This window comes from Homo sapiens, chromosome 5, assembly GCF_000001405.40.
Source record: "Homo sapiens chromosome 5, GRCh38.p14 Primary Assembly".
Taxonomy (NCBI): domain Eukaryota; kingdom Metazoa; phylum Chordata; class Mammalia; order Primates; family Hominidae; genus Homo; species Homo sapiens.
Window position 1 is genome coordinate 157,235,420 of NC_000005.10, and position 26,233 is coordinate 157,261,652.

The 26,233-nt window shown below is 41.4% G+C and overlaps 1 protein-coding gene across 1 annotated transcript in view, besides 2 other annotated features; it reads left to right on the forward strand.

The window, feature by feature from the left end:
* ITK (IL2 inducible T cell kinase) overlaps positions 1 to 19,766 on the forward strand; it is a 74,346-nt gene extending 54,580 nt beyond the window's left edge. Inside the window, exons 9-17 of the mRNA NM_005546.4 lie at positions 2,690 to 2,772; positions 4,643 to 4,776; positions 6,227 to 6,301; positions 8,204 to 8,375; positions 8,843 to 9,059; positions 10,307 to 10,371; positions 10,462 to 10,580; positions 13,431 to 13,588; positions 17,188 to 19,766. Coding sequence (NP_005537.3) covers positions 2,690 to 2,772; positions 4,643 to 4,776; positions 6,227 to 6,301; positions 8,204 to 8,375; positions 8,843 to 9,059; positions 10,307 to 10,371; positions 10,462 to 10,580; positions 13,431 to 13,588; positions 17,188 to 17,259 — 1,095 coding nt within the window. The 3' untranslated portion in view covers positions 17,260 to 19,766. The remainder of the gene's footprint in view (positions 1 to 2,689; positions 2,773 to 4,642; positions 4,777 to 6,226; positions 6,302 to 8,203; positions 8,376 to 8,842; positions 9,060 to 10,306; positions 10,372 to 10,461; positions 10,581 to 13,430; positions 13,589 to 17,187) is intronic.
* Positions 17,567 to 17,626: an enhancer, noted in NCBI's record as "active region_23506". NCBI's record gives its function as "activates an Ori minimal core promoter by ATAC-STARR-seq in GM12878 lymphoblastoid cells {active_cell/tissue: GM12878}" and the evidence as "EXISTENCE:reporter gene assay evidence [ECO:0000049][PMID:35858748]".
* Positions 18,017 to 18,066: an enhancer, noted in NCBI's record as "active region_23507". NCBI's record gives its function as "activates an Ori minimal core promoter by ATAC-STARR-seq in GM12878 lymphoblastoid cells {active_cell/tissue: GM12878}" and the evidence as "EXISTENCE:reporter gene assay evidence [ECO:0000049][PMID:35858748]".

Here is a 26,233-nt window from a genome sequence, read left to right on the forward strand (position 1 = left end):
ACCTTTATGGGTCAAATGTTATTATCAGTATTATTACTTCTCCAGTGGCTCTGTTCTCACTCTGCCTCCAATCTCAGCAGTTTCTCTTCTGTCTTTACCCATCTAGGTAGATGGTAAATTCCTTGCAAGTGGGTAACTCTCTTAGAACACCTTACAACATCTCACACATAGGGTGACCTGAAGTTCAGACATTCTAAAGTGTCATTGAAGACTCAATGTTGACTTAATAATTGGTTTGTTTCAAGAGAAGAAAAGCACCACCTCCAGAATGAAAGATGGCTGTATTTCAGAGACACTCTTAAAGTATAATGCAGCATAACAAGACTATGAATTATCAGTCCATCTGTTCACAATAACTTACCCTGTGTGTTGAGATTATCTTCTGAAAGGTCACCTTCAAATTATATGAACAGAAAGAAAGAAAAATACTCCTAACACAACCAACATGTCTCAGATGGAGACTGACAATGGAATAATTACTTCCAATAAGTAGCAAACTTAGCATGTGATAATAATGGCCAATAATACTCTAATAGTTCTTGTCCTAGTATTGTATTCCAGGAGCAATTCTAGGCACATTACCTCAGTTCTCCCATCAACCTTCCAAAGGTCATTTTACAGATGAGGAAACTGAAGCTCATACAGTTACTCATCTTTATAAGTTCCTTTTAAGGCCAGGCACGGTGGCTCATGCTTGTAATCCCAGCACTTTGGGAGGCCGAGGCAGGCGGATCACTGGAGGTCAGGAGTTCAAGACCAGCCTGGACATCATAGTGAAACCTCATCTCTACTAAAAATACAAAAAATTAGCCAGGCGTGGTGGCGGGCACCTGTAATTCCAGCTACTTGGAAAGTTGAAGGAAGACAGTCACTTGAACCCAGGAAGTGGAGGTTACAGTGAGCTGAGATTGTGCAACTGCACTCCAGCCTGGGTGACAGAATGAGACTCCATCTTAAAAAAAAAAAAAAATCCTTTTAAACCCAGAGATTCTGGAATTCAAACAAATAGCATGGGCCACTGTCTGTGTGTGTACACAGATATGTGCCCACAGGCAAACCATCATTTTAGTTGTGGGATAGAAGGATTTGTGTTGTTGTAGTTTCTATATACTTTGTTCCTTATACTCCAAGTGTATGCCCTCCGCACAAGGATCTTGTCTAACTCTGACCTTTACTTAGGGCCCTCATTGTGACTAAGTTAAGTGAATCATAATATTTGGCTTAACAAATGTTACCAGTGCAAGTTTACAGCGGGGTAGGAACAGAGTGTTAGATAGGAAGTACTTAAAATAGACTTCAGATTTTTTAATTTCCACCAAGAATGAATAAAATGGTATGTCCATTTATTAGTGCTTATTTCATCAGTGCTGGCAAAACTGTCAGGGTGGCGAAAGTTACATTCTCAGGGCACTCCCTTCTTCCCACCTCTCTCATGAAACCAGGAGCTTAATGTTCTTTTTCCTTCCGCCCTGCAGCCAAATTCTCATTCTGGAAAGGGCCTAAGAAATATATTATCATTAAGAGAATCCTTATACACTGTTGGTAGGAATGTTCATTAGTTCAGCCCCTGTGGAAAGCAGTTTGGTGATTTCTCAAAAAACTAAAAATAAAATTATTATTCAACCCAGCAATCCTATTACAGGGTATATACCCAAAGGATAATAAATTATTCTACCTAAAAGACACCTGCACTATTCATAATAGCAAAGACATGGAATCAACCTAGGTGCCTATCAACAGTGGACTGGATAAAGAAAATTTGGCACATGTACACCATGGGGTAACATGCGCCCTGAAAAAGAACAAAATTGTGCATTCTGCAGCAACATAGATGCACCTGGAGGAATTATCCTAAGTGAATTAACACAAAAATGGAAAACCAAACACCACATGTTCTCACTTATAAGTGAGAGCTAAACAGACATCAAGATAGTAACAATAGACAGTGGGGACTCCAAAAGTTGGAAGGAATGGAGAGTGGCAAGGATAGAAAAACTACCTATTGGGTAATATGTTCACTATCTAGCAAATGGGTTCAATAGAAACCCAAATCTCAGCAACACGCAATATGTCCATGTAACAAACCTGCACACATACTCCCTGAATCTAAAAAATTTTTAAAAGTTATATATTCCCATTAAGACACTGATGAAGTTTTCAGGACAGTTTTGTGCCTTTGTAGGGAAATGGAGAAGCAGCTTCTAACATTCTTTGAAAGGAGGCATCCTGGAGTAGTAGACCAAGGCTGGGCTTTGCTCACATACCAGAGTTCAAATCCGAATTCTGTCACTTTCTAGTTGTGGGTCGTGGGAATGCCACTTAAGCTCTCTGGCACTCAGTGTCATTGGCGGTTAAGGATACCAATATCCAGATGGCAATATTGTGGTAAGAGTTGGAAAATATCTGTAAAGAGTCTGATACATGGGGAGCTCTAAAAGGGCAGAGCTTATGTCTCTGTCTCCATTCATGGTTCATGTCAGCATGAGAACAGTCTGGGATCCATGTAGGAGACCAAGAAATATCTACGGAAGGACAGGAGTAAATGAAACGGTAGCCATTCTTACTGAAATCTGCTCTATGCCAAGTGGGCCTACAGTATTTCCTCCTTCTGTGGGCAAGAAAGTGGAGCTGGAGGCATAAGCCTGGTTTCCTGAGATCACTAACTTTCCATTCTTTCTAACCATTCCAGGGCAAAGAAGGAGCCTTCATGGTAAGGGATTCCAGGACTGCAGGAACATACACCGTGTCTGTTTTCACCAAGGCTGTTGTAAGGTATGGAGCTAACTCTGCTCAGCAAAGTGGAGAGAAACACTTCTGAAGTGTGTGAGCACTGGGGAAAAGACAACAAAGTTAGACAGTGCAAGAGGTAGAGGCTCACTAGAAATGGTCTGTTTTCCCTCTTTACTCCGAGAAAACCAAAGCCATGGAGATCAAGGATAGAACTTAAGAGACTTAGAAAGTGACAGAGCTGGGAGTGGATGCCAGGTCCTCTTTCAATTAGCATCTCCAATTTTAGAGTTCTAAAGACATAAAATACTTGGCACTGTATTGGATGAGTATATAATTTAATACATAGAATAACAGAAGAGATATTTCTATCTGGAAGCAAAAATATATGAACTCCAGTTCTGGCTCTGCTCATAAAACTACCTACCATTAACTGAGTCTTTATTATGTGCCAGAAAATATGCAGACCATTTCCAATCCTAAGAAGCCCTGAAGGCAGGTATTACTATGCTCATTTCACACAGAAGAAACCGAGGTTCAGGAGCTGATGGTGCCTCCCTATGGCCGTGGGTCTGAAGGGGCCAAGCCACATCCAGGCTCCAGCCAACTGGACTGCAAGATCCTTCCTGCTTTTCTGCCCCTCTGTACCTGTTTCTTCTCTGTAAAACAATGCCTAAGAACCTATCTAGGTCTCAAATTCCCTTCTAATTAGAACATTTGTTAGAACTAAGCTGTTTGACAATGACCAAAGTGCAGTCAGAATTAAGAGAAGAGACAAATAATTTTTAAGGTGTCTTCGGAAAATTTTTTTGGAAGACTGAGGATGTGAGCAGGACGTGGAGCAAGGGCAGGTGGCAAAGAGGAAGGGCCCGATCCAGGGATAGGAGGGAACACAGTGTACATCACAGAGGGGCCGTGCCTCTACCATGGCTGGGAGACAGTAAGGAGGTGACCTGCAACCCCACAGGTATGACGGAGAAGGGATGAAACAAAGTCTGTGTCGAGGCTCCCCACAACTACCCCCAGCTTCAGGGATTCACTAGGAGGCCTTCCAGGACAAAGACTTATTGAGATTTAATACAGCAAAGTGATACAAAGCAAAATCAGCAACGGGAAAAGACACATGGGACAAAATCTAGAGGAAACAAAACACAAGCTTCCAAGAGTCCTCTCCCACTGGAGCCAAACAGGACGTGCTTAATTCCGCCAGCAACAAGTTGTAACCACACGTTAGCAGTCTACCAGGGGAGCTCATTAGAGACTCAGTACCCAAGGCTTTTATTGGAGGCTGTTTCCACAGACAGCCCCTGCCTAGCACATGCCAAAGTTCCAGATACCCAAAAGGAAAACAAGCGTTCACCATAAAACACATGTTTCTAGCAGACGGTTTAGGTACAGCTCGCCACCCTTATCAGTTAGGGAAAGAGCCCTCCCGAAATCCAAGTTCCCAAACACCAGCCAAGGGTTAACCATGCAAGCAGGTCTTTCTAAGGAGGGTAGTCAGGCCTGTTATGTTCATCCTCTGCAGCTTATTTGACTTATGAAGTCAAATAAGGGTGAAGGGGTCAGAGAGGCTTTCTCAATGTATGCTGACAATCAGTTAAATTCATAGAATAGGCAAGGCAAACACATAGCAAATATTTCCATTCCCTCATTTTGTGGCAATGGAAGAACCATCACCAATCCATCACAGCATTGCTGTCCACTGGGTCCAGACACAACCTCAGAGTCCTTTTTAACACAGTACTGCAGCACCCAGGCCCAATCTGTCAAGACAGACTTATAAGTTGAACAATATCTGCCACCTTGTGAGAGGTTATAAGACAAAGATAATAAGAACTTAATACTCGTAGACTTTTTTGTGTCTCAACATTGCTTCTTAATAATCATTACATTTGTGTTTCATTTGTTTAAGTGAGAACAATCCCTGTATAAAGCATTATCACATCAAGGAAACAAATGACAATCCTAAGCGATACTATGTGGCTGAAAAGTATGTGTTCGATTCCATCCCTCTTCTCATCAACTATCACCAACATAATGGAGGAGGTAAGCTCTAGAGCAGGGGTGGACCCGGGCCGCCCAGCAGGAGGTGAGCAGCAGGTGAGCAAGCATTACTGCCTGAGCTCTGCCTTCTGTCAGATCAGCGTCATTAGATTCTCATAAGAGTGCAAGCCCTATTGTGAACAGCACTTGTGGGATCTAGGTTGTGTGCTCCTTATAAGAATCAAATGCCTGATGATCTGAGATGGAACAGTTTCATCCTGAAAGCAACCCCCTGCCACATCCCTCCATGGATAAACTGTCTTCCACAAAGCCGATCCCTGGTGCCAAAAAGGTTGGGGACTGCTGCTCTAGAGGACAAAGCCAGAGGGCACCTGGGTTAGACTTTTTTGAATTGCTATCAAGGAATACCTGAGGCTGGGTAATTTATAAAGAAAAGAGGTTTAATTGGTCCATGGTTGTATAGGAAGCATGGTGCCGGCATCTTCTTGGCTTTTAGGGAGCCCTCAGGAAGCTTTCAGTCATGGCAGAAGGCAAAAGGGGAGCAGGAGTATCACATGGCAGGAGCAGGAGCGAGGAGGGAGAAGATGCCACAGACATTTAAACAACCAGGTCTTGCATGAACTCAGAGTGATAACTCATTTATTATCACAAGGACAGTGACAGCACCAAGGCATTTGTGATGGATCCCACCTAATGACCCAAACACCACCTCCCATCCCACCAGGCCCCACCTCCAACATAGGGCTTTTCTTTTCTTTTCTTTCTTTTCCTTTCTTTTCTTTTCTTTCTTTTTTTTTTTTTTGAGACAGAGTTTCGCTCTGTTGCCCAGGCTGGAGTGCAGTGGCTCAATCTTGGCTCACTGCAACCTCCACCTCCCAGGTTCAAGCAATTCTCCTGCCTCAGCCTCCTGATTAGCTGGGATTACAGGCATGTGCCACCACATCCCGCTAATTTTGGTATTTTTTGTAGAGACAGGGTTTCACCGCATTGGCCAGGCTGGTCTTGAACTCCTGACCTCAGGTAATCTGCCCGCCTCAGCCTCCCATACTGCTGGGATTACAGGTGTAAGCCACAGTGCCCAGCCAGGGATTACATTTCAACATGAGATTTGGAGGGGACAAACATCCAAACTATATCAGCACCCACACAGGAGACTTAATGAAAACTGGCAAAAGCTCGCCCTGGCTTCTTTTTGACTATAAATAATAAATAAATATACAAATAGAAAAATATGACAAATATTTAATTATATTATATATCTTCTATTAGCAAGCTATCTTGTGGAAATAATGGAATTTTACCACTTGCCCATCTGTGCTTATGATGTTTTCAAGGAGGATATGATATCAATAATTAGGCTTTGGGATTTGTTTTCCAGAATAAAATTAGCTTTTGCGTCTGATGATGATTATTATTTTTTTTAGTGATTTAAGTTAGATGGTTGCTAGAGCAAAGCCCTAACCACTGCTTCTTGGCTTTTCAATCAACCCAGGCCTGGTGACTCGACTCCGGTATCCAGTTTGTTTTGGGAGGCAGAAAGCCCCAGTTACAGCAGGGCTGAGATACGGTGAGCAGTACAATCAGGAATGTAAACTCATGTCCCTAAAGGTCTGGGGCAAATTCTGAATAAACTGGCCATGAGCCTACCTGTTCCTCAGACTACAAATCACCATTAAAACAAGTGTATTATATATCTAGAGATGATGGCACTAATGAATATTTACATTGTGTGTAAGAGAAGTACATATACAAGCACATTTCTCTAGGTCAAACCAGTGGCCATTGGTTTTAGTGAAGAGTTCATTAATGAAGTGTTTATTAAGCACCTACTTTGTACAGAGCACCCTACTAAATGCTATTAGAAAAATATTAGAAAACCATGCCTTAGCACTGTGTTTCCACCTATCTTCTAGAACTTTTATATCATCTAGTTGGTTGAGTAGCAGACTATTGCCAGAACTGCAAGTTGAGAGCATCTAGAAGTGTTTCTCTGCATAAGAGAGTGTTAAAATTCTTTGGAATACCTTTAGGCGTGGCATGATCTCCAGTGCCGCAGCCCCTACTATGTTTTCTTGCCCTACGGAATTGCTTCACTCACTTGGGATTACCTGCCTGGACTCTGAAGGCATTTGGCTTTGCATCCCTTGGTCCCAACTGTGTGCTGCCTGTGGAGAAGGCTGGTCTAATTTTCATTTCTTATCTCCTAGCTTGGTGGTTCTCAAATTTCAGTGTGCATCAAAGTCTTCTAGAATGCTTATTAAAAATGTTGACTCCTGGCTCCTATCCAAACACTCACCAAAACACAATCCTTGATAGGGTCCTGGAGTCTACTTTTTTTTCTGGCATGATCTCCCTCTGTCACCCAGGCTGGAGATGCAGTGGCGTAATCATGGCTCACTGCTGCCTTGACCTCCTGGGCTCAAGCGATCCTCCCACCTCAGCCTCCCAAGTAGCTACTATGCCTGGCTAATTTTTAAAAATTTTTTGTAGAGACAGGGTCTCACTATGTTGCCCTGGCTGGTCTTAAACTCCTGGGCTCAGGCAATCCTCCTGCCTCAGCCTCCCAAAGTGTTGGGATTACAGGCATGAGCCACTGTGCCCAGCTGAGTCTACATTTTAAACAAGCATGCTAGGTGATTTTGATACAAGTGGTCAGAGGGCAATACTTTGAGAACCACTGCCACGCATGGGCTTCTTTATCCCTAACCAGCACCGTGTCCGGCACACAGTAGGTGCTCAATACTGCCTGCTGTTGAGTCTCTGCCTCAAAGCAGTGGAAATCTGGCTGTTTAGGTACCAGACCAAGCACTGGGGAAAGAGTGCCTCTTTAGCCTCCTTATGAAAATAAGGGTATTCTAATAAATGTAGAATCTTGATGTGTCCGTGCTGGATGGGATTTCAGATATTACCTGGTCAGCCTACTCATTTTGTTGGTGAGGAAATTGAGCCTCGGAATCTCGTATTTGTTTGTTAAACATTTCTTGAGAGCCTCCCATGTGCCAGACACTGTGCTAGCTTGTGCCTCTGCACAAATTCTCTTTAAATCTTTCTCTTTAACTGCCCCTCTGCCCCAGTAAGGCCTAATAGGGTTATGTGTATATAGCAGGTGCTCTTAATAGATGAATGAATGAAAGAATGATCAGCTCAATGAAATTTACTTAGTGTGAAAAATGACATAGAAAAATGGGACATTGCAAGAACCCTTTCTTTAATATTTTGATTAATATGGTTTCTTTAATATCTTCATTAATGCCACTCTCCTTCTTTCCATGTTACCTTCCCACACATATTTTCATAGTTTTCTAGCATATCCTATGTTATTATGTGGGAAAAAGATAATTTATTTGCCATCTTTGAATTATATTAACAATAGGCTAAAATTCTAGTTAGGGCTTTATAGTCCCCTGGTATCCCAATACCTTATATCTACTGCTTGCTGACCCCAGAGAACTCTCTCTCTCTCTTCCAGGGAAATGGGTGATCGACCCCTCAGAGCTCACTTTTGTGCAAGAGATTGGCAGTGGGCAATTTGGGTTGGTGCATCTGGGCTACTGGCTCAACAAGGACAAGGTGGCTATCAAAACCATTCGGGAAGGGGCTATGTCAGAAGAGGACTTCATAGAGGAGGCTGAAGTAATGATGTGAGTGCTCAGAACAAGGATATGCAGAAACTCTGGGGGGAACATCGGTTCAGTGTTCTTGAAATGCCATTCAAACGCCAGGGGGTACTATCTCCCTGCGCAAACTCCCAGCAGTGGCTTCCTATTGCACAGAGAATACAATCAAACTCTTCACAGTGGTCTCCAAGGCCCACCATAATCTGATCATGCCCACCTCCCCCTTCTCAGCTCCTACCCATCTCTCCTCCAGTCCATGACATGCCAGCCACACTGGCCTCTGCTCATCTTCACACACACAGCTGACTCCTTGCCATTTTTCAGGTCTCAGCTCCAATGACATGTTTTTGTTTTGGGGAGGGAATGAATATTATTTTCATCCAAACCATAAATTAGACAAAATGACCATTGGCTATTTTGGTACCATAATATTTTCGGCATTTTTGGGAGACTGAGTTTAGGCCATCTCACCCCTTGTCTTTTTCCTCCAGGAAACTCTCTCATCCCAAACTGGTGCAGCTGTATGGGGTGTGCCTGGAGCAGGCCCCCATCTGCCTGGTGTTTGAGTTCATGGAGCACGGCTGCCTGTCAGATTATCTACGCACCCAGCGGGGACTTTTTGCTGCAGAGACCCTGCTGGGCATGTGTCTGGATGTGTGTGAGGGCATGGCCTACCTGGAAGAGGCATGTGTCATCCACAGAGACTTGGTATGAGCATGCAGGGTGAACACCCACAGGTCCAGGGTAAAGGGACAGTTCTCACTGAAATGACTGGGAACGCATTAATAAATAATACATTACAGATAATCTCCTTTCCTTTCTCAACTTCTCCCTTCCTTCACCTACTTTGGGTGGTCCTAGTGGAAAGGGCTTCATGAGGACTTACTTCTGGGCTCTGATCCCAGCCCAAACTCTTTCACCTCCTGCATTTCAGTTTATATTCTTCCAAAATGGAGATAACTGCCACTCCTTCTTAACCTCTCTGTGACTCAATTTCCTCCTGGTAAATTGAGGAAACTGAGTTTGTCTGAAGGTATTATTCAAGGGTCTACCAGAATCACACTGGGGAAGCCCTTAAGCTACTCTCAGAATCTCTGGTGGCTGGGACTCAGGAATATTCATTTTAACACATTCCCCGTATGATTTGTATGCACATTAAAATTTGAGATATGCAGCTGGGTGCGGTGGCTCATGCCTGTACTCCCAGCACTTTGGGAGGCCGAGGTGGGCGAATCACGAGGTCAGGAGTTCGAGACCACCCTGGCCAACATGGTGAAACCCCATCTCTACTGAAAATTCAAAAAATTAGCTGAGCTTACTGGCGGGCACCTGTAACCCTAGCTACTTGGGAGGCTGAGGCAGGAGAATCACTTGAACCCAGGAGGCAGAGGTTGCAGTGAGCTGAGATCAAGCCACTACACTCCAGCCTGGGTGACACAGTAAGACTCCATCTAAAAAAAAAAAAAAAAAAAAAATTGAGACACACTGGAGTGTTATCTCCAATGGCTTTTTCAATGCAACAGTCTATAATACTAATTAGGGGTCAGGTACTCTCCCTATTGAAGAACAGTTTTAAGAGGATTAACAACATCAAAACATTCTTAATTTAGTCAACTGGGAGATGCTTTCTTCCTGTTATCCCTGATGTTAACATTTCCTATCACATCAGGTTGCATTAGAGCCTATCTTTGGTTAGACAACACCAAGGATTTCTAATTAGAACTCAAGAATGAAGATAAACTTACTCATCTTGATAGTGGATCTTACACATTCAACTTTCCAGTTAACTTCCAGCGGCATTTGTGAGGCTTAATTAACATTTGTAAAGCTCCATGATGCCCTTGTATGACAGCACTGCAGTAAAGCAAAGGACTGTGATTATAGGAGACTCCTTAACTACTGATGACTCATCAACAGTTTTCCTCTCCGCCTTTGTTTGCCTGTCTCCTCTCCAGGCTGCCAGAAATTGTTTGGTGGGAGAAAACCAAGTCATCAAGGTGTCTGACTTTGGGATGACAAGGTAAAAGAGGGATGTGGTGCCGGTGAAGTCTCAGGAATGGGACTGAGGCCCCCGGAACATTCTGACCTTCTCCCTCCACTCTCTTCCCAGGTTCGTTCTGGATGATCAGTACACCAGTTCCACAGGCACCAAATTCCCGGTGAAGTGGGCATCCCCAGAGGTTTTCTCTTTCAGTCGCTATAGCAGCAAGTCCGATGTGTGGTCATTTGGTGAGTGTCATGCTGGGCCCCACTGCCCCATGATCTGGGCTTCAGGCCAGCTGTTTCCTTTATCAAATGCAGACAACCCTACCCACACTGAACCCTGTATCATATCATGAGGGTGTCCCACTGGAGGGTTGTGTAAGAAAGGCCCCGAAAACTATGAAAGGGCCTTCATCATTTTGTTTGTTTTTAGAGATACTGGACATGGTGGTGGGAGTTAATTAAAAGTGGAAACAAGAGTTCTGGTGCCAGCTGCTGTGAAGTCAAAAGCTGGAGAAGTCAGGAGATTCAAATATGAGCCCCTTGAAGGCAGGGACCATGTTTTGTCCAACACTACATTTCCATACTTATCTCTCAATAAGTATTAATATTTATTCATTCATTCAACAACAATTAACTGATCATCTATTCTATGCCAAGGGCTAATCTAGGTGCTGAGGATGCAGTGGTTCATAGAACAGAAAAGACTTCTGTTCTTTTGGAACTAAATTTGAGATGGGAGGGGAGACAGAAAATCACAAAAGATCATAATAACAGTCATAAACAATAATAATAATAAACAAGCTAAGGGATAGAAGATAAAGCCAGGCAATCATAAGTAGGTGCTATGAATAAAATAAAACAGTAATGGGGCAGAGTGACTAGGATAGAGAGAGGGTCTGCTTTGAATAGTGTGGTGTGGGAAGGCCTTTCTCAGAAGGTAATTCTTCAGCAGAGACTTGAATGATAGGAGGGAGCTGTCACCATTTGAAGAGCCAGGGAACAGTGTCCCTGACAGAGGGACCAGCAAGTGCAAAAACTTGGTGCATCCAAAGAACAAGGGGTACTGACTTATTGGGAGAACAACAGGCAATGAAGCTGGTAGGCCATCATAAGGAATTAGAATTTCTAAAAAGTGCAAATGGCCATGAAGGGATGAATGATGTTGGTATTGCAGGATGTGCCAAATGTTCTTGCTGGATTTGCCATGTCACCTGAAGTCATAGTTTGTGCATACTAAAGTGTGCAAAAAAATATACCAGACAACCTCTTTGATTTGGATTACAAGAATTATACTGTGGACAGAAACTACTTGAAGATTGATTTTTGCCATTCGGTATGAAGGAAGGGTTTGACAAGGGCTTACTAGTAGTAGAAACCAGGGGGGAGTTTGGCTAGGTAAATCTTTTAGGAGAAGAATGAGTGTTAAAAATCTTCTGCAGCATTTTAGTCTATCCATCTCTAGGAGCCAAGTGGTTTGTTCATTATGAGTCCTACCTATTTCTTAAAACAGTACCCTATTAACCAACCCTTGCAGCTACTTTGTTAACCAGGTTTAAGTTACAGAATGGACTTGAAAGAAATTGTACTAACAGCATTTTTGGATGACTCCCCTCTCCCCAGTGTGTATAACTAGGAAGGTTGGGGCTGATGTGCAGTCATCTCACTATGGGTGATGAAACTGATCACACTGCACCAAGCAAGCAAGGGCCCCACAATGAGACATTTGGAGCAATGGCCACTTTAGCACATTCACCTTCTGACTCTGAATGGGGTTTATTCAGCCAAAGGGTGTCAGCCTGGGAATTTCCTGGGGCATATTACCATTACAGGGTTGGGCTGAAATTAGTCCCTGTCTAGGATATATTATCTGAAGAGAGTCCAGAAATGAGGTTGATGGATGGATGCAGAATTGAGAGATCAATGGAAAAAAGTGTGAAAAAACTGGGGGTACCAGCCTAAGCAACAGAAACCTGGATGAGCTGAAAACTCCATGCCTGCATCAGCCCATTGGACTTTGTCCTACGTTTTAAGTTTCTTTGCCCTAATTAGCAGTGTGCTATTCAGAACAAGTCAACCTCTTTGTACTTTGCTCAATTTTTTTATCTATACATTTCTCATCTGTGTATTAAAGCAATCATTCTGAAACCATGTTTCAGCATCGGCACATTTTCAAAAAAATTTTCACTAAAAATTATGGTGTCTTGGGGTGATAAGCATTCTTATTTAGGGTCAGGTTCTGAATTTCCAACTCCTGAGGCACCTCTGAGTAACATCTAGAGATTCTGATCCACTGGGTTTGGGCTAGGGCCCAGGAATCTGCCATTTGAACAAGACTCTGAGATGATTTTTATTCAGGTGTTTTGGGGATCATGCTTTGGGAATGTCTACTCTAAGATTCTCTGGAACAACCTTTGAAAAGCTCTGAATTAGCTGATTTGCAAGCAGCCTTCTTGCTCTGACAACCTGTGAATATATCAGCACATGATAAAGACAAAGCTAGGTGTCACATTTCTACCAAGGGCAGAAGAGGAAAAGAAAGGGATTAAATCAGAGGTCAAAAATAGACAAGCAAAAGATGTGTTTTGCTTGGTCTACATGGCATTTTTTAAATTCAAGAAGTTCAACTCTTAATTTTTGACGTCTTTTTTAAAAAAATCAGAAAATGTGCCAATTCTGATCCCTCATTTTCATGTGCCATACTTTGGTTGGAGTCAAATCATAGCTGTCTCCTTAAGACAGAACTGTTTATCTCATTTTCCACAATCCTCCCCAATCCCAATAGTGTCACACCTCCTGCACTCCATTCATTTACATCCTGCATCTTGGCATTTGAGTCTACAACTCTTAGTTGTAGCATTTGAGTTTGGTACAACAAAGGGTCCATCTTGAAAATCCTTCTCCACTACAAAGGTTGGGAAATTTCAGTTCTTTAAAAATAGGACAGGCCTAATAAGCCTCAGGTAGACTTGATGCACTTCTGGAGGTAGCACATGAATCCTAATGCAAGGAGTCTGTAATTTCTAGAGGCAGGTTGGTTTGTTTGCTGTCTGTGGGCTTTGTCATTCACTGTGCTGTGCTCACCATTTCTTGTAGGTGTGCTGATGTGGGAAGTTTTCAGTGAAGGCAAAATCCCGTATGAAAACCGAAGCAACTCAGAGGTGGTGGAAGACATCAGTACCGGATTTCGGTTGTACAAGCCCCGGCTGGCCTCCACACACGTCTACCAGATTATGAATCACTGCTGGAAAGAGGTCAGTGGAGGAAGTGCTTCCCCATGCATTGTCGTATACAATTTGAGGACCTCCCTCCTTCCCTAGAGAAAGGAACCCTCTCAGAAGGATGAGGCAGGAGGGATAACTAATATAGATTAGCAACAACATGACTTTGAGGATCTGTTAACGGGATAGATCCCCCATCCCTAAAGGAGCTGAAGGCGACCTTAAATATTATTTGGTTTGCTACATAATGTCACAAGCTATAAGCATAGCTTCAGAGAGGAGGATGGGGTGTGGCCTATGCCAGCTTCCTTCTCGATTTTCTGAGAAGAGAAAAAAAGTCTGTAACATCATAAAACCATTAAAAGCACAGGAAGTTAGTTCTATAACTTGGGGAACAAAGTTCACTTGCACTATGAAAATATTAAAATGGCTTAATTTGAGTTCATTTTATTCATTCTGCATTTAAAATGGGGAGCCAATTCCTCTGTACCCGCCCAGGTGGCTCATTTACCCCAACCTTGGATTGCAGGCCATGGCTTGAGCCCCATCACTATGAGTCTTAGTCTTTGCTGTCTTTGCTGAGTTAGAAAATCATACATTTCAGCCAAAGTGGAAAGTTGCTGAAACAGAGAATTAATAAAAATTCTGATCATTGTACGACAACAAGGTGGAATACAAAAAATTTGGAACACTAGGATTTTGTCTCAGCTTTACCATTTATTTGCCATTAATCTTTGACAATTCTCTGAACTTCCTTTTTCTTACTGTTAAGAGAATTAAATAATGCTTGGTCTGTGAGTTCATAGAGCTTTTATAATCAGAAACAAAGAAACAATAGAGACATAAAGGAGGGCATAAAACAAATCTTATCCACTTCATAAGGATTAGCTACAATAATAATAATGATGGCTGACATTCAGTTGGCACTTTTTCCCTCTTTTAACCATCATTTATTGATTTTTTTAAATTAATAGTCTTTATTTTTTAACAAAGAGTACAGAGTTCTCATATGCCCACCTCACCTGAACAGTTTCCCTGTTCACTAACATTTGGCATGAGTGTGATACATTTGTTACAATTAGTGAACCTCTATTCATACATTAACTAAAGTTCATAGTTTACATTAAGGTTCAGTCTTTGTGCTGTAGAGTTCTGTAGGTTTTCACAAATTCATGTATCCATCATTATAGTATCAGACAGAATAGTTTTACTGCACTAAAAATCTCCTGTGCTTCACCCATTTATCCCTCTCCTCATCCCCAAACCACTGGCAACTACTGATCTTTTCACTGTCTTCATAGTTTTGCCTTTCTCAGAATGCCATATATTGGCATCATACAGCATGTAGGCTTTTCGGACTGGTTTCTTTCATTTAGTAATATGCTTTAAGGTCCCTCCATGTCTTTTCGTGGCTTAATAGCTCATTTCTTTTTGTTGCCAAATAATATTCCATTGTATGGATATATCATAGTTTATTTATTTACCTACCAAAGGAAATCTTGGTTGTTTTCAGTTTTTGTGTTTGTTTGTTTGGGTTTGTGGGGTTTTGTTTTTTTTTTTGAGATGGGGTCTTACTCTGTTACCCAGGCTGGAGTGCAGTGGTGCAATCTCAGCTCACTGCAACCTCTGCCTCCCAGTCTCAAGCGATCCTCCTACCTCAGCCTCCCAAGTAGCTGGGACCACAGACATGTGCCACTAGGCCCAGCTAATTTTTTGTATTTTTGGTAGAAACAGGGTTTTGCCATGCTGCCCAGGTGAGTTCAGGCAATCAATCCACCTCAGGCCTCCCGTAGTGCTGGGATTATAAGTGTGAGTGCTCAGGCAGACTGGTTTCCTTCACTTAGTAATATGCCTTTAAGGTCCCTCCATGTCTTTTTGGCTTGATAGCTCATTTCTTTTTATTGCTAAATAATATTCCATTGTATGGATATGCCACAGTTTGTTTATCTATTTACCTGCCAAAGGAAATCTTGCTTGCTTTCAGTTTTAAACAATTATGAATACAGCTGCTATAAATGTTTATGTGCAGATTTTTGTATATAAATTTTCAACTCAATTGGGTAAATGCCTAAGAGTATGCTTGCTGAATCATATGGTAAGACTATGTTTAACTTTTTAAGAAACTGCCAGAATGTCTTCCAAAGTAGCTGTATTATTTTACATTCCCACCAGCAATGAGAGTTCCTTATTAGCATTCATTGTTTTGGATTTCAGTGGTTCTAATAGATGTGTAGTCATATTACATTGTTGTTTTAACTTGCATTTTCCTAATGACATATGATGTTAAGAACATTTTCATATGCTTATTTGCCACCTGTATATCTTCTTGGTAATATCTATTCAGATCTTTTGCCCATTTCTCAATCAGGTTGTTTGTTTACTTATTGTTGAGTTTTAAGAGTTCTTTGTATATTTTGGATACAAGTCCTTTATCAGATATGTGTTTTGCAAAATTTTCTCCTAGTCTGTGGCATGTCTTCTCATTCTCTTGACAGTGTCTTTCACAGAGAAGACTTTTCAAATATTTTAACAAAGCTCAACATCAACTTATTTATTCATGAATTGTGCTTTTGATTTACATCTAAAAACTCATTGCCAAGCCCAATGTCACCCAAATTTTCTCCTATGTTACTTTTTATTTTATGGAAGTTTTATAATTTTGCATTTTACATTTAGGTCTATGATCCACTTTGAGTTAATTTTCCTGAAAGGTGTCAGGTCTGTGACTAGAGTCATTGTTTTACATATGGATGTCCAATTATTACAGCCCTGTTTGTTGAAAAGACTATACCCTTTCTCCTCTGTTCCTTTGTTAAATGTTAGTTTACTATATTTATATGGATCTATATCTGGGCTGATCCATTAATCTGTTTGTTTATTCTTTCACTAGCACCATCCTCTCCCATTACTGTAGCTTTAGAGTAAGTCCTAAAGTCAGGTAGGGTCAGTCTTCTAGCTTTGTTGTTCTTCTTCATTATTGTATTGGCTCTCTGGGTCTTTTGCCTCTCCGTATAAATGTTACAGTCAGTTTGTCAATATCTAAAAAAAATAACTTGCTGAATTTTTATTAGGATTATATTGAATCTATAAGTCAAGTTGGGAAGAACTAATATTTTAACACTATAGTGTCTTCCTGTCCATGAACATGGAATATCTGTCCATTTATTTAGATCTTCTTTGCTTTCTTTTATTAGAATTTTTAATTTTTTCTCATTTAGATCATGTAGATATTTTCTGAGATTTATACCCAGATATTTCATTTTTTGGTGTTCTTTAGCATTAATTTCTTGATATATTTTTATATGTGATTTATTGAATTCTCAAAACAATTTCATGAGGTAGATACTATTATTATCTCCATTTTACAAATGACAAAACTGAGGTTCAAAGAGGTTAAATAACCTGCTGAATGTCACACAGCTAATTAGTGGTAAAACTGAGATTAAACACTAGTCCCTTGGATTCCAGAATACCTGCTGTTAACAACTAGGACAATGTATATGGAATACAGTCAACATGGAAGCACATACAAAAATCCACAGGGGATGCTGCTATTAAATTCTGGTTTGTTTTGGATTTACCTATGACGCATAAGTACAAGGAACTTACAGAGTTCTTTTTTCCCTCTCCAGAGACCAGAAGATCGGCCAGCCTTCTCCAGACTGCTGCGTCAACTGGCTGAAATTGCAGAATCAGGACTTTAGTAGAGACTGAGTACCAGGCCACGGGCTGCAGATCCTGAATGGAGGAAGGATATGTCCTCATTCCATAGAGCATTAGAAGCTGCCACCAGCCCAGGACCCTCCAGAGGCAGCCTGGCCTGTGGCATCAGTCCCTGAGTCACCATGGAAGCAGCATCCTGACCACAGCTGGCAGTCAAGCCACAGCTGGAGGGTCAGCCACCAAGCTGGGAGCTGAGCCAGAACAGGAGTGATGTCTCTGCCCTTCCTCTAGCCTCTTGTCACATGTGGTGCACAAACCTCAACCTGACAGCTTTCAGACAGCATTCTTGCACTTCTTAGCAACAGAGAGAGACATGAGTAAGACCCAGATTGCTATTTTTATTGTTATTTTTAACATGAATCTAAAGTTTATGGTTCCAGGGACTTTTTATTTGACCCAACAACACAGTATCCCAGGATATGGAGGCAAGGGGAACAAAGAGCATGAGTCTTTTTCCAAGAAAACTGGTGAGTTAAGTAAGATTAGAGTGAGTGTGCTCTGTTGCTGTGATGCTGTCAGCCACAGCTTCCTGCCGTAGAGAATGATAGAGCAGCTGCTCACACAGGAGGCCGGATATTCTGAGAAGCAGCTTTATGAGGTTTTACAGAGTATGCTGCTACCTCTCTCCTTGAAGGGAGCATGGCGAGACCCATTGGATGGATTGGGGTGAACAGTTCAGGTCCCATGCTTGGAGCATTGGGTATCTGATGTCTGCACCAGAACAAGAGAACCTCTGACGGTGGAGAACCATGTGGTGCAAGAAGAGATCTTAGGTCTCTTCTTTTATACCAAGCTCATCTTTTATACCAAGCTGTGCAGGTGACTATGCCTCCTCTTCTGCACAGAATGCTTCCACCAGCATCCTGAGAAGAAATGATTACTTCTGAAAAACATCCTTTTTTCCAGCCTCTGGGAATCAGCCCCCCCTCTCTGCACTATCCGATCCTCATCAACAGAGGGCAGCATTGTGTTGGTCAATGTTCCCTTGGCGAGCAATTGAAACTTGTTTAGGCCCTAGGGTTGAGCAATTTTAAGGTTGAGACTCCAAGTCTCCTAAAATTCTAGGAGAGAAATAAAGAGTCTGTTTTTGCTCAAACCATCAGGATGGAAACAGTCAGGCACTGACTGGGGTGCTTCCAAGAGGCATGAGAGTGCCTACTCTGGCTTGAGCACTTCTATATGCAAGGTGAATATGTACTGAGCTAGGAGACTTCCCTGCAAAATCTCTGTTCACCCTGGGTTCACATCCCCATGAGGTAATATTATTATTCCCATTTTACAAATAATGTAACTGAGGCTTTAAAAAGCCAAGACATCTGCCCAAAGTGATGGAACTAGAAAGTCTAGAGCTGGTATTCTAGCCCAAATCTGTCTGACCGCAATACACAGATTCTTTATTCCTATTCGACACTGGCTTCTACTGAAAATGAAACGGATTGCAGAGGGAATAAATACAAAGATGGAAAGCCAGTAAAGAAGTCAGTATAGAACCACTAGCGAATAGTGTTGCTCTGGCACAGACCACTGTGGTTGATGGCATGGCCCTCCAACTTGGAATAGGATTTTCCTTTTCCTATTCTGTATCCTTACCTTGGTCATGTTAATGACTTTGGAGTTATTCAGTTAATGACCCTTTAATTCTCACAACCAACCAGTCATGTTGCTTGAAGCCATTTATAGACGAGCTTCAAAGCAACTTTAAAAGATTCTTCTGTAGAAGTATGAGTTCTTCCTTTAATTATCATTCCAACTTTCAGCTGTAGTCTTCTTGAACACTTCATGAGGAGGGACATTCCCTGATATAAGAGAGGATGGTGTTGCAATTGGCTCTTTCTAAATCATGTGACGTTTTGACTGGCTTGAGATTCAGATGCATAATTTTTAATTATAATTATTGTGAAGTGGAGAGCCTCAAGATAAAACTCTGTCATTCAGAAGATGATTTTACTCAGCTTATCCAAAATTATCTCTGTTTACTTTTTAGAATTTTGTACATTATCTTTTGGGATCCTTAATTAGAGATGATTTCTGGAACATTCAGTCTAGAAAGAAAACATTGGAATTGACTGATCTCTGTGGTTTGGTTTAGAAAATTCCCCTGTGCATGGTATTACCTTTTTCAAGCTCAGATTCATCTAATCCTCAACTGTACATGTGTACATTCTTCACCTCCTGGTGCCCTATCCCGCAAAATGGGCTTCCTGCCTGGTTTTTCTCTTCTCACATTTTTTAAATGGTCCCCTGTGTTTGTAGAGAACTCCCTTATACAGAGTTTTGGTTCTAGTTTTATTTCGTAGATTTTGCATTTTGTACCTTTTGAGACTATGTATTTATATTTGGATCAGATGCATATTTATTAATGTACAGTCACTGCTAGTGTTCAAAATAAAAATGTTACAAATACCTGTTATCCTTTGTAGAGCACACAGAGTTAAAAGTTGAATATAGCAATATTAAAGCTGCATTTTAATAAATATGGTGCATAGGGCCTCGGTTCCATATTTATTTAAATCGCAAACTCTCAGAACTTTTCCTTAAGTAAAAATGGTTACATTGTTTCATTTTCCACAGACAATTAAAGATTACATATCATTGAACAACATTCATTCAACAAGTAAATATCAAACGTTCCTATGGTTCATGCACACAGTTCAGTGTATGCATCCTCATGAAAACAAAGATGGAAAAGTCATAGTCTTTACTTCTAAAAAATTCCTAGTCTGATTGAAAAGGAAAACATATGAAGAAATAAAATTATAATAGAACAATTAGGGCAACAACAAAAAACTGTGGTCAAAGAAGAGAAGAGCCCAGAATAAGTGATGGAATCTATCAGGGAAAGGATGACATCAAGGGAAACTTCTTAGAGCCCTGCTACTCAAAGTGTGGTCCCTGGACCAGCAGCAATAGCATCACCATGTTGTGAAAAATTCAGATTCTCAGGCTTCTTCCTCACCTACCGAGCAAGAATTGTCATTTTAACAAGATCTGCAGGTAATCGTATACACATTAAAGTTTAAGAAGCACTGTCGCGAGGATATACTGTCTAAGCCAGTTTTGAAGATAAATTTATGAGTTATAAGGTAAGTAAGTGGGCAGAAGTAAGAGACATACTTTCCAGGTAGAGAGAGAACAGGAAGTATTGGGAAGCTATTGTCAGTTCACTATTGCTGGAGCATGCGCGCATGCGCGTGCGCGCTGTGTGTGTGTGTGTGTGTGTGTGTGTGTGTGTGTGTGTGTGTGTGTGTCTATTTTCTCAGCAAGGGTAAGGATGATAGAAGAGGTGGGTAAATTGAAACTGAATCTATAAATCTATGAAAGAACTATACTTTAAAAGACCAAGAAGTTGGAATTTCACCCTATAGGTAGAAAAGATGTCATTGCACAGGAAGAGAAGGTCAAATTTGCGATGTGTTTAAGAATATATTCTGGCAGCAGCATAGTGAATGGATTTGAGAAAGGCAAAGCCAATGGAAAAGAAACTAATTTGGAGATTATCTTTGCCTTGTTCACAGTACCATATTATTTTTCCTAATCATTCACTGTCATCTGTTGTGTGGGTGACATATGGAAATTGTAATTTGGAGTACGTCATTCACTTTAGATAGCAATAAAATAGCTTTCCTTCTTAAAACCCCAGTAATATAAAGGCTGGGTGGTTATAGTTTTGGTGTGCTGAGCACTCTGTGCCTTTCAGTCCACCAAATGCCCAGCTCCATTGCAGGAGCCAGGTCATGCGCCAGTCAACCACTGAGCATGGAAGAGAAAGCCCAAGGCTTCCATGCAGTCCTTCCTAGAACTCACCTCTGTGCTTGAATCCCACTGCCAAATCATCCACATGAGAAAGTCAAAAGCAGATTGGAGGAACAGATCTGCTTCTCAGAGGATTTTTCCTGCAGACCCTGCTCTTCTCAGAATCTCCCAACACCTAAGGCCACCCTTTTGAGGAAAAGACAGAAATACCTCATTCAGCAAGACAGGGAGTATGTGCATCATCAGGTGCAGAAAGAGCTGCAGATTCCCAATTAGAGGGCTTGGGAAGGTGGCCTGGTCAGGAACAGAGGGCTAGGGGTGGAAGCTGCATTTGAACAGTAAGCACATGGTTTTACTTTAGAATAGATATTAATTTGCGTGGGCTTTAATGGGGAAGGTGCTGAAATTTTGGTGCACTGAGGCTCACTTCCCAGAGCCACCCCTTGGTACCAGCACTAGGGGTGTGTGTATGGTTGTGTAAGAGTGTGTCTGCAATGACTTTGAGATTCTCCCCAAGGTACAATGTATAGTTGGCTTGTAGTATAACAGAGTCATACAGACAATGAGTGGTAGACGGAGTTTTAGAGTTCATTTACTTATTTCATAAATGGTTACCATTCATCTACTATGACTCTTTGTTAGGTACATGATCTAAAAAGATGACTAAGATATCTCATCAGTTAGGGACCAAGCACGTCACAATCAAATTAGTATAATTCGAGGAGAGCTTTTTGACAAAAGGACTATTTAAAACTGTGTGGTTCAGTTTAGGAGAACCTTAGAAAGTGGTACAGAGGAAAACCACAGCGGGGCACTCATGCTATGGTTTGAATGTTTGTGTTCCTCCAAAATTCCTATTGAAACGATCTCCAGTGCAATAGTATTAAGTGGTGGGGCCTTTAGGAGATGATCAGGCCGTGAGGGCTCTGCCCTTATGAATGAGATTACTGCCCTTATGAAAAGGTTTGAGGAGGTAGTCCCTTTTTGCCCTTTACCCTTCTGCCATATGAGAACACAGCAACAAGGTGTCATCTATGGAGCGGAGAGCAAACCCTGACCAGATACTGAATCTGCTGGCGCCATGGTCTTGAGCTTCCCAGTCCCCAGAACTGTGAGAAATAAATTTCTGTGGTTTATAAATTACCCAGTCTAAGGTATTTTGTTATAGCAGCTTGAGTAGCTTGAAACAAGTAGTTATCACCCCCTAGGCCTGAAGGGATAACAAGGGAGAGTGGTCATTTAAATATGGAAGGAGAATATTGGAGAGTGCTGCCTTAAAGGAGAAGACCTTTAGTAAGGGACAGAGGAAACCCAAGGCAACATCACAGGGAGGAAGCCAGGGGCATCAATACTCTGCCTCACTCTCCTTCCTTTCTCCCATCAACTGGGTCTTCTATTGGTCAAATCCCACTGAACGCAGAGGACAAGGGAGCCCTAGTAGGGTAGTCCATAGAGGTCAGTCTCCAGGACCAGAGTGCAGGGTGAGAGAGTGGAGTGGATCTGGGGAGACAAAGAGAAGATACCTAGTACAGACACCAATCCTTCCTATAAGAGGGCTCAGCCTAGTGAAAAAGCTCAACACATAAACCAATGCAATCGATTCTCATTGCTTGTAGATTCTGTATTGGTAAATTTGTCTACTGGATAAAATTTGTTTATAACCCTAAAATCAATCCTGGAGGCTTTTCCTGCAGTCATTCATGACATGCCAAAGTGTGGAGCAGTAAAAATTTTGCGTTGCTCCATATACACATTCCCAACTGAGGTCAAACAGAGTGGCGTTCAGCTCTCATGCTGCAAACAAGTGGCTTTTCTCAGTCTATTTAGTGACACATTTTCTGCATTTCTGTACTTTTTTTCTGGTGATTTTGCTGTTTAAAATGGCCCCCAGCCAGGCACAGTGGCTCACAACTATAATCCCAGCACTTTGAGGGGCTAAGGTGGGTGGATCACCTGAGGTCAGGAATTTGAGACCAGCCTGGCCAACATATAGTGAAACCCTGTCTCTACTTAAAAAATACAAAAATTAGTTGGGTGTAGTGGTGCATGCCTGTAGTCGCAGCTATTTGGGAAGCTGAGGCAGGAGAATCGCTTGACCCTGGGAGGCGGATGTTGCAGTGAGACAAGATCCCGCCACTGTGCTCCAGCCTGGGCGACAGGGCAAGACTTCATATAAATAAATAAATAAATAAATAAATAAATAAATAAATAAATAAAACGGCCCCCAAATGTAGTGCTGACATGCTGTCTAGTGTTCCTAACTGCAAGAAAGCTGTTAGTTCAATAAGTTTAATGAGGGATGAGTTATAGTACTGTTGACTGTGAGTTCAATGTTAATAAATCAATAATATATATAAATAAGGGTTTTTTTTAACAGAAACATGCATAAAACAAGGTTATGTATTGATTAGTTGACAAAAGCGTGGTGAGCAGGGGCTTGTAGGAACCTAACCCTTTATTTCCCCTAGAAGCAATGGTTCAGTATTTGTTAACTTAGTGTTCACAGCAACTTTATAGAACATAATTACTGAATAATAAGAACCAACTATAATTGCAAAGAGCTGTTGTAGGTTATGCGATGTAGCTATAGTCACAGCACAGCAAGAGCACAGAGAATTAAGTAAACACATCTAAGGGATCAGGAAGGGCCTCACAGGGGAAGTGAAGTTTGAGATGTGCATTGAAGGGTAAATAAGAGTTCCCAAAAAGGAGAGGGTCTAGAAGGACATTTCAGGTGGAGAAATCAGCAGGCATAAAAATGCATCTTATTCCAACTTCTTCTCCTGCATTATTTTCATGTTACGTCTAGGACCCTTGAGGCCCAAACCAAGTGCTGGCCACAATCACGAGAGACAACTGAAGGAGTCAAGCACAGTTGACCTTGAACAACATGGAGGTTAGCGATCTCAACCCCTTGCACTGTCGAAAATCCACGTATAATTTTTTAATGCTCCAAAAACTTAACTGCTAATAGCCTACTGTTGACTGTATGCCTTACTGATAATGCAAACTGTTGATTAACACAATTTTGCATCTTATATTTATTATATACTGTATTCTTATAACAAACAAAATAGCTACAGAAAAGAAAATGTTATTTAGAATATCAAATGGAAGAGAAAATATATTTAGTATTCATTAAATGGAGGTGGATCATCATAAAGGTCTTCATCCTCATCGTCTTCACATTGAAAAGGTTGAGGAGAAGGAGGAAAAGGAGAGTTGGTCTTGCTATCTCAAGGCTAATAGAAGCAGAAGAGGTGGAAGCGGAGGCAGGAGAGGCAGGTACACTCAATGTAACTTTACAGAAATACATCGTAATTTCTGTCTGAATTTTTGCCTTCTCATTTCTCTAAAAATGTTTCTGTATAATACAAATCCTTCTTTCACTATTTGCCTTAGTTTCAGTGCCCACATCATAGAAGGGTCATGTCATAAAAGAAGTCGAAAGTCATCTTGAGTAACCAAAACCCTTTGCCAGATTGTCTAACATCAATTTGTGTTCTGATATTGCCTCTTCTACATCTTCCTCATTGTCTGGCACTGGTTCAGTAGCACTCATCTCCATCAAGTTGTCATCTTCTGTTAATCCCTCTGGAGTGGCATCTATTAGCTCTTGATTTCTCCAAGATCCATATGTTGAGACGCTTCACACACACCCCTCACCCACCTTTTTGCCATATGCTCAATCTCTTTCATGATTTTCTTGATTGACTCTGCTGTAAATCCTGTGAAGTTATGCACAACATCTGAACACAGTTTTCTCCAGCAGAAACTTGTTGTTTTGAGATTGATGACTTTAATAGCTTTTCCTGTAACAATGTGGCATCTTCAACAGTGTAATCCTTCCAGACTTTCTTGATGTTCTATCAGGGTTCTCTTTCATAGCATTGACAATCTTTTCCAAAGAGTACCATATATAATGGGCATTAAAGGTCCTTATGACCCCCTTATCTAGAGGCTGGATTAGAGATGTGTTTGGGGGCAAGTAGACCACTTTGATGCCTTCAGTGTTGAACTCATGGGGTTCTAGATAACCGAGGGGCATCCTTCAATATCAAAAGAACCTTGAAAGGCAGACCTTTAGTGGCAAGGTACTTCCCGACTTCAGGGACAAAACATCAATGGAACTGATCCAGAAAGAGTTCTCGTTGTCCAGGCCTTCTTGTTGTACAACCAAAAGACTGGCAGCTGGTGTTTAACATTTTCCTTCAAGGCTTGGGGGTTTTCAGCTTTATAGGTAAGGGCAGTCCTGATGATAAGCTTAACTGCATTGCACAAAACAGCAGAGTTAGCCTATCCTTTCCTGTCTTAAATCCTGGTGCTCGCTTCTTTTCCTTACTAAGCAATGTTCTTTGTGGCTTTTTTTTCCCCCCAGAATAGGGTACTTTCATCCAAATTAAAAACCTGTTCAGGCAATTAGTTATCCTTTCTCCTCCATGATTTTGTTAATGGCATCTGATAACTTGTCTGCTATCTCTTGGTCAGCAGAAGCTGCTTCTCCTGTTATCGTGACATTTTTTAAGCCAAACCTCTTTCTAAAATTATCAAACCATCTTTGCTGGCATTAAATTCTTCAGCTTTAGATCCTTCACCTTTCTTTTGCTTTAAATTGTCATATAATGACTTCACTTTTTCCTGACTTATATTAGAGTCTATGGGTACGTCTTTCTTATAGCAATCTTTATAGCAACGCACCCACCTAAAACCTGCATTTTCAATATGAGCTAAAATGGTATTTAACAAAAAGTGCAAGGTTTTCATACCTGCTGGGAGCCGCAGCTACGGCTTCATGAATTTTCTTTCCTTCTTTCTCTCTTTCTCTTTCTTTCTTTCTTTTTACAGTGGTCCTTATGCTAAATTCATTCATCTTAAAATGATGGACAACTGCAGCTGCAGACCTCAATCTATGGTACATATCAAGAAAATTCAGCTTTTTTCTTGTAATGTTATGACTTTTCTCTGCTTTTTGGGAACACTTTCAGCATCACTAGTGTCACTTCATGTGGGTTCCATGGTGTTATTCAAGGTTTGCTGTATTACACTAAACATGATGAAAAATGTTTCATCATGAGAGATGAATTGCTCACTCAGAGATGATTAGCATCACACAGCACTTGAAGTGGATACTGGCAACACTTGAGTTCACCACAATAGCAACAAGAGATGGCCACAGGCCAGGCGTGGTGGCACACACCTGTA